General features: G+C 35.8%; 1 long non-coding RNA gene across 1 annotated transcript in view; it reads left to right on the forward strand.

Annotated features, from left to right (window-relative positions):
* LINC01317 (long intergenic non-protein coding RNA 1317) overlaps window positions 1-9002 on the forward strand; it is a 590861-nt gene extending 581859 nt beyond the window's left edge. The window contains exons 6-7 of the long non-coding RNA NR_126403.1: window positions 517-522; window positions 8730-9002. This is a non-coding gene — a long non-coding RNA (long intergenic non-protein coding RNA 1317). The remainder of the gene's footprint in view (window positions 1-516; window positions 523-8729) is intronic.
* Window positions 9003-15777: the final 6775 nt, after the last annotated feature.

The raw sequence follows: 15777 nt of genomic DNA on the forward strand, positions 1-15777 counted from the left end.
ACTGAGAAATTCTCTAAGAAGTTCAAATGTGCCTAGATTTGGGTAGAACTGTAGGCCCAAAGGTAAGGTTTTAGAAACATCTACATAATTTATGGTCAAGGTTTATAAGTGGATATGACCACAAATTCAGAGAGAAAAAATGCTCAGTTCAGAGAGATGGGAGAAGTTAGAGTACGGGGAACTGTTAGATTTTTAAAAGTAATCATTGATAAATAATTGACATAGGTGGAGATCTTGGATTCTTCAGGGCCACAAAAACTAATGGAATGGTCAAGAGCGTTTATTAACTATAAAACCTTGCAGGGGCTGGGCACGGTGTTTCACACCTGTCATCCCAGCACTTTGAGAGACCAAGGCAGGCAGATCACCTGAGGTCAGGAGTGCGAGACCAGCTTGGCCAACATGGTGAAAACCCGTCTCTACTAAAAATACAAAAATTAGCTGGGCGTGGTGGTGGGCGCCTGTAATCCCAGATACTTGGGAGTCTGAGGCAAGAAAATCGCTTGAACCCGGGAGGCGGAGGTTGCAGTGAGCTGAGATCACACTGTTGCACTCCAGCCCGGGTAAGAAGAGTGAAACTCCATCTCAAAAGCAAAAGGAGAACAACAAACCCTTGCAGGAAGGTCAAAGGTAGATGATGGAGCAGCAACAGCTGACTTGGAAATTCAGTCTTAGAGAGCAGTTTCCATTCAATAGCAGTAATGGAGGCTAAATCAAAAAGGAGTTACTAGTGGATAGGTGCTTTGGGGCAATGAATAATATTAAATTTTTCAAAGGCTGGATATGAAAGGGAGAGAACAGGAGAGCTTCGTAAAGAAATGAGAGTTTATGTATATTTTATTGTTTTGGAATGAAGAAGACAAATATTTTTATGGGTAAGAAGAATCCAATGGAGGCCCGGGTGTGGTGGCTTACTCCTGTAATCCTAGCACTTTGGGAGGCAGAGGCAGGCGGATCACTTGAGGTCGGGAGTTCAAGACCAGCCTTCCCAACGTGGAAAAACCCCGTCTCTACTAAAAATACAAAATTAGCTGGGTGTGGTGGCGCATGCCGGTAATCGCAGCTACTCGGGAGGCTGACGTGGGGAATTGCTTGAACCTGGGAGGCAGAGATTGCAGTGAGCTGAGATCACACCATTGCACTCCAGCCTGGGCAATAAAAGCGAAACTCCATCTCAAAAACATAAGAATCCAATGGAGAAGAAAAGTAAAAAATAAGACACATGATTTAGTCAACAAAATAAAGAGACAAGGGAAAGGATAAAATTATATAGAGATTTGGGTGTTGAGGGAAGGAATTTGGTATATTCAATGGTACTTACGGTCTTTCTCTCAGTCAAATAAAAAAACCAGGCCATATGGTGAGATAGAAACAGGATTATTGTAAAGAAGTAAATATACTACATTTGTCAGAACCTGACAAACGCAGGCTTATTTCTAGGTTTTGCTGCTTATTTTGTAACTTTGGACAAGTCACTTATCATCCTTCAGTCTATTTCCTTAAAAATGAAAATAATAATATCAATCTAGAAGATTTATTTTAGTTTTAGAGCTAACAATAGCTGACATTTATTGAATAATTTATAACTACGAGTTGTTAAATCAATGTTTTGAAGTAAGTGTTATTATTATTCCAATTTTACAAGTAAGGAAACTGAGCTATCCAGAGATTAAGTAACTTTAATAGGGTCACAAAAGTTGTAAGAGGCAGAGCTAGGATTTGAACCTACGCAACCTAGGTTTGAAACTAAAACATCTTAGTACAGTCCTTAACATGTAGAACATTCAATAACTAGAGCTTGTAATTATTGCAAACTTTATTATGTTAAGGACTTGTAATACATTTTCTACCTTTATACAGAGTTAAGCTTGTTAGAATATCATCGGGAAAGAAATTAAACATTTTATGAACATCATGGTCAATTCTGGGTAACAACAGAGGTCGTACCTAATGTTTGATAGAGATGGCTATATTATAGGCATAGATTAGGGCCCAGATATGTTTGCTAGTGCCCTAAATGACTAATTTTATTTTCTTTTTAAATGATATCCTGCAATAGTAGTCCCATCCCAATAATATTAATCACTTCATATAAACTTAGATAATAGAGATTTATATCACTTGAAAGATATCTCTCCCTCATTTCTTTTCCCTTGAGGATTTATAGTGTATCAAGATATTGTTCAGGGAATATTGAGGAACTAGTTTTTACTGCTTATCAGATGAACTTGAACTTGGTATCAACTGACATGTACATTAATTGGGATCCTTAGTCACATCTCACTAATCTGGATCTCTGACATCTGCTTCTATGTTTGTCTCATTTAAAACTAGCACCTTTTATTTTTAGTAATGGAAAACTGGGTAATTTTGAATATGTAGTACAAATAGGTAAGCTAGACAAGTATACTAACAAACAAATTGTTAGCTTGAAGTATTAGAAAGTTGGTAGTAGAGAAGTCCTTGACCAAAACCAGAGAGAATAGCAAAACAGATGGTGGTGAGCCTGGACTCTAGAGATACATTTCCTCTAGGGACATTTTTCAGTTTCCAAATGAGTGATCAATAAGCCAAACAAATATGTGACAGTTTCGTAGGGGTAACTGAACAAAAGCTGAAGTCTTGAGCTTCTCAATGATAGGAAGGGTCTGATAAACTCTCCACTATTTCATTTGAAACACTAAAGTTCTGCTTCCTAGGGATTAGGATGATAGAGAAATAGAATAGCCATCACAGGGAATGAATCATCTAACCTTGACATTGAATTACAGTGACCTCAGATTTCTGGTATTCCCAGGAACCTGGCAAAAACAAATAAATATTCTGTCTGGAAAGATATACCACCTTTCTAAACCTGAAATTATTTATAAAAGCAATTTTTCATATACAATGTCTGGCATGCAATAAAGAATAACTAAACACACAACGCTGTGACACAATATGAATAAAAATCACGAGAAACAATAGAAAATAGAAAAAGACTTTAGAGGATTAAGAAATTTTTTATGAGAAGGATTCTAATATAAATATATTTACATGTTCAAGGAGAGAAAAGAAAAGAGGGAATTTCAGTGGAAACCATTTTTAAAAAGAAGGCAGAATTGAAAAAGTGCAAAAGATATTTAGCACAATACAGTAAGATATGTAAGATACTAAAAAATTTATCAGTAACTAGGTTTCGGTGGGTATGTTTTAAAATGGGTTGAGGACAAATGAACATAGAATTAGTGAAATGATACATCTGTAAGAAAAACACATCCAGAATGAAAAACAGAGACAAAAAATGAAAAATACAAAAACAGAGAGGAGATGACAAAAGATGCAGTGATAAATTTTAATTTGGTGTAAATAAGTTTCAGAAGAAAAGAAATGAGAATGGAACAGAAGGGATATTTTAATAATGACTATGTTTTCAAAAAGAATGCATTAAGCCAGAGATTCAAGGAGCTTTATGAACCCAAATAAGAAAAGTACAAAGAAATCTACTTTTGAACCCTTTAGAACTAAACTGCAGAAAATTCAAGGAAAGATAAAATATGTTAAATTTAGTGAGAGAATTGAGAGATTACACTAAAGTGAAGCAAAATTAGACTGATTTTTGACTTCTTGATAGAAACATGTAAAAAAGCCAAAAACCAAGCAAACACACACACATTCTCTCTCTCTCTCTCTCTCACACACACACACACACACACACACACGCACACACACACATACACACACACACACTGGGGTGTTACCTTTGAATTTCTTAAAGAAAATTCAACCTAGATGTTATACTTAGACAAAAAGATGCATCAATAATGATGATGTAATCAAGACATTTTCAGATCAAAACAAAACATAACACAAGAATTTATCATCACTAAGTTCACACTAAATAAGATGTCCTTATCACAAAAGGAAAGTCAAAGGTTTGGCAGGTTATAAAGCTTCATGAGACTGGTTACTATGTGATTAAATTAGACTGAATATTAATTGTATTATAGACTAGTAATAGCATATGATAGCATGTAAAATATACATATAGATTTAAGACACGTAGCTACAAATCTCTAAGACAAATAAGGTAAACGTAGTTAAAATATTGTAAGCTTTTTGCTATATAACATTAGAATTGATCATTTAAAGAAGCATTTTGTAAACTCAGAGTAACCACTAAAAGAACAGTATGTATATGCATAAATATATATACGTACGCATGTGCATAAGATATGTGTGCATGTACACACACATATTTATATGTATATATATCTTCTGAACTAACAAAGGTGATAAAGGGAATAATAAAATTTCTCAGCCAATCAAATATAATCTAAGGGAGAGGGGAAAGGGAAACTTAGATCAAATAGTACAAATAGAAAACCTATGGTAGGAGGTAGCTATAAAACCATAGCTTTGGAAGTAAGTATAAAAAATTTCTATATCCAACTGGTACAAACAATAAAGACTTATCCTCAGGGCCAAAACAAAAATCTGTTCCTAAATTCCATGCAGTGGTTCTCCTTCAAAATTCTCATGGCTGAAATAAGGTAATCAATAACAGATCAGATTTGGTCGAAGTGCTGAAATTCAGCCAGTCACTTACCTCTATACTTACTCAAAGTCTTATATAAGATTAAGTCCTTGCTTTGTTCAGAGCTCTGGTTCCTGCAAGCAGACTTCTTTAAATAGTGGATAATGCATTATATTCACTCTTGTTTCATATATATTTCAAGGGTAGTCTCTTCCCTTGACAAAATACTGAATATTTTAAGCATTTCAGTTCTCTTAAATTAATATAATAAATGATACTGGAACAGTTAGAAACCTATGTGAAAAAGATTAAATTAGACTACTATCTTGTACCATTCAAAAAAGTAAATTTCAGTTACATTGTAGATCTTAATATGCAAAGGAAAACAACAGTACTTCCAGAAAAATAATACAGAAAATGCCCTAGGGCCTTGGATTAGAAAATGATTTTTTAAATAAAGTTCAAAAAGAACTAACCGTAACAGAAAATATCAATAAATTTGACTATTAAAACTAATATCTACTATTCACCAAAATGAAAACAGATCACTTCTCAAAGTCCATATGGCATATTTTGTACCGCTCAGTCATATAAACAAACCTGTGTTTGTTTCCTGCCTTCTGTACCACACTACATCATGTGGGACCTCTGTGAGCCTACTTTATTCTTTGGGGTGGGATTTTTCAAAAATATATGCCACCCACCAGGACTTCCTCTGGAAAATTAAAGTCATAAGCATCTTACATTTCAGGATACATAACCTTATTTCTAGGGTATATAGTTTTCCTTTCCATCCTCACCCTAATGCTCGCCCATGGTTGGGACAGGGAGAAAGCTCCCTTTTTGTTCCAATCATCGGAGTTTATGTTGGATTCACTCTAAACCTCTTCCTTTCTCTCTCTCCTCCCTTCTCCCTTATCTCACCAGAGGCTCTAATTCCTATGGGGTTGGAGATATTTGCTCTTATATCATCCTGCATACACCCAGATGATTTGAAAAGATATCATTATTATGACATGTCTCAGTTCTTCAGGGCCACAGAGTTCTGGCACATGAGAACCAGGATCCCAAGACTAAAATAGTCTTTTCTCTAATTGATTTCTGCTACGATGAGTTTCAACTGTTACATATTAAACATAAACATTAAAATGAACTTCTAATATCTTACTACATTTTTCTTTCCATGGGATATAACCCTTGGACATACTGCTGCTTCCTATATAGATAAAATGTTTATGGGTTAATGAGAATTACATGAAAAGGAAAATTTATCAGATAATCTATCAAATATTATCCCATTAAACATATTTAAACTTACATATGCTACTACTCATAACCTTCCAATGGCTAGCATTGAGCTTCATTATTTAAGAATATGGAAGAGTTAAAAAAATGGATTGATCACATTGGATGAAAGGGCTTGAAAAGATGTTAAAGATATAAGATCACACACTCTGGAAAATAACATTGAGGTTTTTTTTTTCAAATCTTTATTAATTTATTCAACAGCTATTTATCAGGCACCTAGTATGTGTCTGGTGTTGTAAACAGTCAAAAGTGACACTTTACAGAGCTTATATCCTTATAGTGAGAGACAAAAATAGCAAAAAAAAAAAAAAACAACCTCTAAAGCAATTATATAATAAACAATCAGACATAACACCAAGATAAGAATGATAGTGGGCCTCATTTTTACAGAGTAGTCTGAAGAGGCCTCTTTCTTGTGATGACATTTGAGCAAATAACTAAATGAAGAGGAGAGTAAGCACTAGAGATACCTATGGGTTGACTTTTCCATGTATAAAAGAGTATCGTGGTGTGTTTGAGTTCCATGATGCACAGCAGTGCCTCCAAAGATTTGCAAAGGAAGAAGAGAGTGCTAGACAGGCCAGATTATACAGGCCATCTGTGGTCTTTGGATTTATTCTAAGTGTGATTGAGAAGGAGGAGTCATTGTGAGATTTTGTGCAGGAGAGTATCACGATGTGATTTACATTTTAAAGGATTCATTTTGAGAATAAACCATGGGAAGTAAGTATTGAAGAAGACATTGCAGAAGTCCAAATGTGAGTTCGTGGTGGTTAGGATCGGAGAGATACTGACACACACTCGAGAAGATTCTGTATACATTTCAACTCTCTGCAAGGGGCTAATATATATAGTATTTTGATCAAGTGTTTGCATCATATTTAGAATATAGAGAATAAATTAAAGGAAGTTTAGTAAATTCTTATTAAATCCTGTAGTTACGGGAGTTCTAAAAAACATTAGTTTAGTGGCTTCAGATTATTTATTTTGTTTAGTAGTGTACAATAGGCCATTTCCTCAGATATGAAATAGCAATTTTTTATTCAAAAATATTTCAAGGGTATATTTCCAGTATAGTGTTTGCTTTGAATCATGCTCTATTCCAAATACATCCATATAAGAGGTTTCACTGCATTAAAACTTTTTTTGTTAAAAAAAATTTGTGAAAATACCAGGTTTCTGACTTCCTGAACTCCAGAAATGGTCTAGCTCCAGAATAAATTAATGTTCCTCTTTCTTTTCAGCTAGAAAATTCTCCCCACAAGATGTTTTCCTAGAGCTACTCTTTTTGGTGTAACAAAATGACCAGGTGTCTTTCTTCATGCAATCTGGCGTCTTTCCCCACCCTCATCATTGGTGCAGACACTCTTGGAGTTACACACTAGTTTAAAATGAACATTGGATGAGTCTATACTAGTTTTCAAAGCCTGGCAGGAGAATCACCATCTAGGTTGTAATTAAATTTCAATGAATTGTTGCAGTGAGAAATTATTTAAACAAACCTGGAAACAGTATTTAAATCTTCCCTTTCAAATGGTGAAATTATATACAAAACTATTAAAATGCAAAATCCTAGGATTAACCTCTAACTTTGAGATTAGCTTGGTTTTTGTGTCTCAAATCAGCATTTCATTTCCAAATCCAGAAGAGTTTTTAAAAAATGATTTTTAAATGGCATCCTCTGAGTTCATTATGAAATCTTATTCTAATCCTGTAATAGTATTAATTAAGTCATGGGGAATTTGGCTCTCAGGATTGAAAAATAAATTACTGACAATTTTCTTTTAAAAAAAGATTGATAGGTGGGGATCTATGAAACCCAGGCATACCTAACTTCGAGTACAGGGGTAAACACTGTAAAACATTTTTTTTTTTTAAATCTGAAATGTAGAAGTTGAACAACATCAATAACGTGTCCTGCCTGAATTCACAGGGGAAGCTTCACAGTGATATGAAAATACATCAAATAGCCTTCTTTGGCTTTAATCATTTTTTACAATAGGGATTTTTGTTGTAGCTATTTTATAAAAGCAATACACATTTGTTGCAAAATATTTAAACGTTATAAAATGTATAAAGTAGAAAAGGAAATTCTCCTCTTTTTTTCTATTCCTTTTCCTTGACATACTACCTCCCTGCTTACCCTGAAATAATCGTTGCCAATAGTTTGATAAGTATTTTTTATGATATAGTATATAATATATAGCTGGGCATATGATATAAATATGAAATGTAATATAGTATGTAGTGGACCTCATTGATTTTTACTTATCAATACATCATGAACATTTTACATGTCAAAGCATGATTTGTGTCATTTGTTTAAAGAGCTACATAATATTCCATTGAATCGGTATATCGTGTGTGTACGCACACAACTATTTGTGCATCTGTTATGTTACAGCAATGGAAAAAGCATTTTACATACATTAAGTAGTTTAACTCTTGGGGAGCCTTATGTGATGTCTACTATTAGGATCTTTTTTATGTCACAGGAGATACTAAGACATAAGGAAGTTGAGACACTGTCCAATATCTCAGTATTCAGTATGGCTGGGTCCTGATTCCAAAGCTCATATTCTTTTAACTATGCTACAAATCCTCTCACATTTTAACTGTTAATAGTTATTTTTTCAATTTGAACGAAAGGCTCCATTGAATAAGGAAATGTCATTTTGTATATTTCTAGCCCTTTCTTTTGGATAAATTTCTCAGAGTGCAATAGTTTCAACTCCGATCCTTACTGAGAGAGAAAGACACTCCTAACAATATTTTATGTGGGAGTGCCTATTTCCCCAAACACTTGCTGAATCTAAGATTGATTGAACTTGTTAATTTTGAAAAATTGATGGATGCCGATTAAAAGAATTTAAGTCTCTTTTTTTTTTCTTTTTTTGAAATGGAGTGTCGCTCTGTCACCCAGGCTGGAGTGCAGTGGCACGATCTCGGCTTACTGCAAGATCTACCTCCCGGGTTCACGCCATTCTCCTGCCTCAGCCTCCCGAGTAGCTGGGACTACAGGCGTCCGCCACCACGCCCGGCTAATTTTTTGTTTTTTTTAGTATAGACGGGGTTTCACCGTGTTAGCCAGGATGGTCTCAATCTCCTGACCTCGTGACCCGCCCGCCTTGGCCTCCCAAAGTGAAGTCTCTTTTCAAAATCTTAATGCTTACCTGTGTTTCTTTTATGAGGAACGTCACGGAATCAAGAGTTTTTGTCTTCATTCTTATTAACTTGTAAAAATTCTAAGTTAAAGACATAACCCTTTGTTGTATTTGTTGTAAATATTTTGAAAATTTGATGTTTCTCTTTACATTTTGTTTTCGTGACTTTTTCAAGTCTAATATTTAGGTATAATGGACGTATGCCCATTAAACCTGTGACTTCCTTTTATTAGTCTTCTAGCCATAGTATTCTGCTTAGAAAGATTTAGCCCAAATTTTTAAAAATATTCTCCTTCTTATTCATCTTGTTATTTTTTATTGTTATGTTCTAATTCATATTTAATAATTTTGGTATGCATGATATGCATCTCTGTCATACCAAATGGAGGATTAATTGTCCCTGAATTTACGTGGACTTAGCCCTCAGTCTATATAATTTCCTTCCTAATCTTCAGCATAAATCCATACCTCATACTGTTTCTGTAAAATACTTGTCTTCTCTGTTTCATCCATTATTATGATTCACATCTTATTTGGCCAAATTTAATTCTTAAGCAACTCTTTTCAGAATAACATGATTGGTATTATACCTTCTGAGCCTTTAATGACCAATATAGGTTTTTTTTTCCCTCAGAGATGAAGAATAGGTTAAATATGCCAGAATTTCCTAAATACTCCACTGACTCTCCAATGAGATTTTAACATATTTTAAAGTAGAAGGGGCACTGTTGTCCAATAAATTTGGGAAAGTGTGTTAACAGAATTAAAACTCTTTTTGATGTGTGCGTTTACGTTTGAATTTATTGCAGGGTTTCTCAGAGCTCTTAATAAAACGTGGTGTTTTATGTTTTTCTAGGAAATAAATGTAATATATATTACATTTATAAGTACGCATAAAGTAGGCATAAGATAGGGACTCCCCTCCACTTCAGACTGGGCAAATAGGAAGACCCCAAGTGTATATACGGAAGTATATATACATATATATATATGTACATATATTATATGTATATTATAGATTCTATTATATATGTAATGTACTTGTCCATAGATTTGTTTTTAATAAGTAACACATGTCAATATCTCATACAACAATAACTGGAATGGTTTGGAAAATTATCGTTGCAATTATTGGGGTGTAAAATTTGAGATGCTCTGTTCATTGAGTCTCACGGAGAATCAAATCCTATCAAAATGTAAGGAAAATTTTCCCTGCTTACTTTTACCAGTCTGTTAAAGAATTGAGCTCTAGTCTATGTATTGGAGACTTATCCTGTTTCTTTCTGTATAATAGTCATTCATTTATTCATTAATATTGAATTAATGCCTACTGTATATCAGGAACTCTTCCAAGCCTTAGGAATACAGAATAAAAGAAGTGAGAAAATAATCTTGTGGAAGTTGGTGGAAGGAAGGGGGAAGATAGAAAATAAATAAATGAGTAAAATACAAAGTTTTTCATATGGTCAACAAAATATAAAATAAGGGGCATAGGGAATATGGTGTATATGTGTGCGTGTGCGTGTTTGTGCACATGTGTGTGGTAGGGGTGTAGATTTTGGTATGATTCAGTGTTAAAAATGAGGTGAGAAATGTTTTGCTGAGAAGGTCATATTTTAACAAGAACCTAAAGGAGATGAAAGAGCAAGTCGTGTGTTTGGGATGAACACTGGCATTCAGGACAGGCAAAAAGAACACTGAGTTAATTTTTCTCTTCATGGGTTTGTAAAAGCAGGCCAGCAATTCAAACAACACATATCTCAATGAGAAGATCTTCTATTATTTTAACCTAGGGGACATTTAGGAGATTTGTTACATCTGTATATATCAGCTGTAGGAAGGTTCTAGCTGCACAGTAAGTGACTTTACCCTCTCTTAAACATTCCCTTTTCTACGAGAGCTCCACAAATTTTCCAGGTGCAGCATTTATCCTTAGAGAATTGCCCAGGAGATGATTTGAATTTGTTCTGGAGCTCTGCTGGAAAAGTAATCCACACTCAGCTCTAGGCTCTGACAGGAACCTCTAATTTCTTCATGTGACTAACTTTTGTATTTTCGAAAAAGCTGCCACTCAGCCTACAGAATGGGAGAAAAATTTTGCAATCTACCCATCTGACAAAGGGCTAATATCCAGAATCTACAAAGAACTTAAACAAATTTACAAGAAAAAATCAACCCCATGAAACAGTGGGCAAAGGATATGAATAGACACTTCTCAAAAGAAGACATTTATGCAGCCAACAGACACATGAAAAAATGCTCATCATCACTGGTCATCAGAGAAATGCAAATCCGAACCACAGTGAGATACCATCTCACACCAGTTAGAAGGGAGATCAATAAAAAGTCAGGAAACAACAGATGCTGGAGAGGATGTGGAGAAATAGGAACACTTTTACACTGTTGGTGGGACTGTAAACTAGTTCAACCATTGTGGAAGACAGTGTGGTGATTCCTCAGGGATCTAGAACTAGAAATGCCATTTGACCCAGCCATCCCATTACAGGGTATATACCCAAAGGATTATAAATCATGCTGCTATAAAGACACATGCACATGTATGTTTATTGTGGCACTATTCACAATAGCAAAGACTTGGAACCAACCCAAATGTCCATCAATGATAGACTGGATTAAGAAAATGTGGCACATATACACCACGGAATACTATGCAGCCATAAAAAAGATGAGTACATGTCCTTTGCAGGGACATGTGTGAAACTGGAAACCATCATTCTCAGCAAAGCAACACAAGAAGAGAAAACCAAACACCGCATATTGTCGCTCATAAGCGGGAGTTGAACGATGAGAACACATGGATACAGGGAGGGGAACATCACACACTGGGACCTGTCAGGGGGTGGGGGGCTGGGAGAGGGATAGCGTTAGGAGAAATACCTAATGCAAATGACGAGTTGATGGGTGCAGCAAACCCTGTGTAACTAACCTGCACGTTGTGCACATGTACCCTAGAACTTAAAGTATAATTAAAAAAAAAGTTATCACTCAAAAAGTTAACTTTACTGGCACTGTTTAATATGTTAGTGGGGCAAATGCTCCAATGATTGTTTCAAACTGTGGCTAGTGGGAAGGGGTTGCGGTTGGCTGTCACTGGCACACTAGGCTGTGGGGAAATCTAGCACTGTTTGCTCTCTCCTCTTGGAAAGCATGGTTAACATCATGAGCACTGTAAAAGCCAGGGATGGGATGGCACGTGTCACTCAAGAATTGGAAATTTAAGGCTGGGCACAGTGGCTCACACCTGTAATCCCAGCACTTGGGAGGCCGAGGTGGGTGGATCACTTGAGGTCAGGAGTTTAAGACCAGCCTGGCCAACATGGTTAAATCCCATCTCTACTAAAAATACAAAAAATTAGCCGGGCATGGGGGCATGTACCTGTAATCTCAGTTACTCAGGAGGCTGAGGCAGAAGAATAGCTTGAACCCAGGAGATGGAGGTTGCAGTGAGCTGAGATAGTGCCCTGCACTCCAGCATGGGTGACAGAGTGAGACGCTGTCTCAAGAAAAAAAAAAAAAGAATTGGAAATTTAGGAAAATAGAAATTTTATTCTTTATCACCTTCCCATATTTTCATTTGTCATTCATCTCCACATGTTGTCCCACTGGAAGGTGTTCAGGGGCAGTGGCATGCATGGAGTCATCATCTCCTTTGATAAAAATGCCTTCTTCTGTAATACCTTCTAAAGGACCTGCCTGAGGCTGTTTTACAGTTAACTCCATTTTTTTATAGCAGAAGAGGTATCTCATAACAATACAAATTACAATATAGTACAGCAGCTATGATTTGTCTGTCCCTACCAAATCTCATGTAGGGGGTGGAGTCTAATGAGAAGTGTTTGAGTCATGGGGGCAGATATCTCGTTAGTAGATTAATGCCCTCCCTCAGGGCTGAGTGAGTTCTTACTCTATTAGCTCCCAGGTAGCTTGTTGTTAAAAGGAGCCTGGCAAATCCCTCTTCTCTCTCTTGCTTCCTCTCTTGCCATGTGATCTCTGCACATCTGGGTCCCCTTCACCTCCTCTTATGAGTAGAAGCAGCCTGAGGCCCTCGCCAGAAGTCAGACAGATGCCAGTGCCATGCTTCTTGTACAGCCTGCAGAAAGGTTAGCCAAATAAGCCTCTCTTCTTCATAAATTACCCAGCCTCAGTCATTCCTTTATATCAACACAAAATGGACTAAGACAAAAGTAAATCTATAAATCAGTAACATAGTAGTTTATTATCATTATCAAGTACTATGAACTGTACTACATAATTGTATTAGTATACTTTTATATGATTGACAGCACAGTAGGTTTGTTTACACCAGCATCACCACAAACAGGTGAGTAACGCATTAACCTACAGTGTTACAACAGCTAAGAAATCACTAGGCGATAGGAATTTTTTAGCTTTATTATAGTAGGAGGTCACTGTTAGATACATAGTTGGTTTATCATTGAGTGAAACATTATGAGGCACATGACTGTACTCTGTTTTTCTCTTTCTTCTTTGACTCAGCATAATGTTTGTGCGATTTGTCCAGGGTGTTGTTTACATCACTATTTCTTTCCTGTAGTGTTTCATTGTCTGCAAATACAGCATTTCGTTTATCTATTCACTTGTTGATGAACATTTCTCTTATATCCAGTTTTTGGAGATTTCAAGTAATGCTGCTATGAACATTCACGAACTGTTTCTCCTGGGACCAAATCAATTTGATTCACTGATAGGATCTAACTTCACAAATGAAACTACCTGCCTAGATTGCAGAGCTATAATACTGCTGTTAACACTGCTAGCTGGGAAAATTTTCAACTCTGATGTGGCAGGAAAAATCTTGCTTGTGGGGTTCGTGATAAAGCTTTGCAACAAAGCTTTTTCACTGATGAAAATTTGAAATTGAAAATCATCTAAGAAAAGGCGATGGACAATGGGATGAATCACTATAAATAATAGAGAGTAAAAAGGAAAATATGATACACATGACATCCATAATGTACAGACTGTGTGAATTCTCCAGGAAAACACAGGCAGGCAAACTCTATGGATCAGCCACACAAGTCTGCCATCATGCTGGTAAGAACTATAACAACACTCTACTTGTCAACAAAATTGAGTAAAGATTACATGAGAAAGGCTTGCTGCTAGGCAAGACTATGACACTTAATCCATTGGAATAAACCTCAAGAAATATTAAATAATTAAATACATCACACTTCAGTCACCTTTCATCAGATGACTTTAATCATTCAAATAAAAGTCTTTAGGGAAACTATGTAAAATTCAAACAGATCAGTTCAAGATGCCTCAGAATGCAGCAGATTTTGACATAGACCTTTGTTGTAAGGTGCAATTCAATATAGATTGTAGTGTAGTAACAATTTATGTTATATAGCTTAATTATTTTTGCCTCATATTAGATACTGCTCTGTGAGTGTTATAATGGAATAATGAAAAGGTGCCCAATGAAACTCTCATAAATTTTCTTCAGAGGAAAATATATAGAAATTAATTGGGATTTTTAAAGTAAAATAAAGCTAAGAAACAACACAGAATTCTCCTAGATGGTCCAGAGTCACCATAGAAACACATGGTCTACTGTTGATTTCCTCTCACGGAGAGGGGATTATGCCAAGCGTGAGAAAATTCCTTTTCACTTTTGGCAGATTTTTTTTTTTTAATTCTCCTGGCTCCCACTTCTGTTCTGGTAATTCGGAGACTGTAGACATCAGAGTATAAATTTATGACAGCAGAAATTTGTTCTGCCTGTTTTGTTCACTTTTTTTGGGGTATAAATGTAGGGGGTACAAGTACAGTTTTGTTAATGGATATGTTGCATAGTGGTGAAGTCTGTGCTTTTAGTGTAAGCATCACCTGAATAATATGCATTGTACCTGCTAAGCAATTCCTCATTCCTCACCCCTCTTCCACCCTGCCACCCTTTCAAGTCTCCAGTGTCTATTATTCCACACTCTGTATCCATATTTACACATTATTTAGCTTCCACTTAGAGAACATGTTGAGATTTGACTTTCTGTTTCTGACTTATTTCATTTAAGATAATGGCCATCCAAGTTGCTGCCCAAAATAATTTTATTCCTTTTTATGGTGGAGTCATATTCCATTGTAGATACATATCACATTTTCTTTATCCAAAGAAAACAAAAGTGTTTCGTTCCACTTTAGTATTCTCAGCATCCAGAACGGTGCTGAGTTATGGTCGAATAGTGGATATTCAGTGGAAATTTTTTAATGAACACTGCTTTTGTTTCAGGCCGTATCTGAATTCCATGATGCTCTAGGCTCTGCTATCATTTTAAAAAACGCTGAGATTGAATCTGCAATGTTTTATACTCACCTCAATCACCAAGCAAGCAACAAACAACCTCAATATATTCCTGAGTGTTCACGAAATGATGAGGTGATCCTCATACCCATTTTCCAGAAATATACCTCCATAACACAGTTCAGTCCTAACTGTGGTGCTCTAGTGTACCTACACTGCCATTTATTCAAAGTTGACTGTATCCTCAGCCTTGTGCAAAAAAAGTGTTATATTCATCATTATTCTCATTGTGGAGATGAAATAAGGAGGGCTGCTTCTTCTCTGACATGTTTCGCTTCAACATGAGGCAATAAATTCTCAATTACTTAATTTCCTCCACAGAAAAGGCATTTCACGGCAGTGAGGACATTGGTAAATGTTCAGGGGATGAATGGATGGATGGATGGTTGGAAAAATTTGTAGGAACAAGATCTTCAGAAAATCAAGAACTGATTCTTAGTGTG

Source organism: Homo sapiens, chromosome 2, assembly GCF_000001405.40.
Source record: "Homo sapiens chromosome 2, GRCh38.p14 Primary Assembly".
Lineage (NCBI taxonomy): Eukaryota > Metazoa > Chordata > Mammalia > Primates > Hominidae > Homo > Homo sapiens.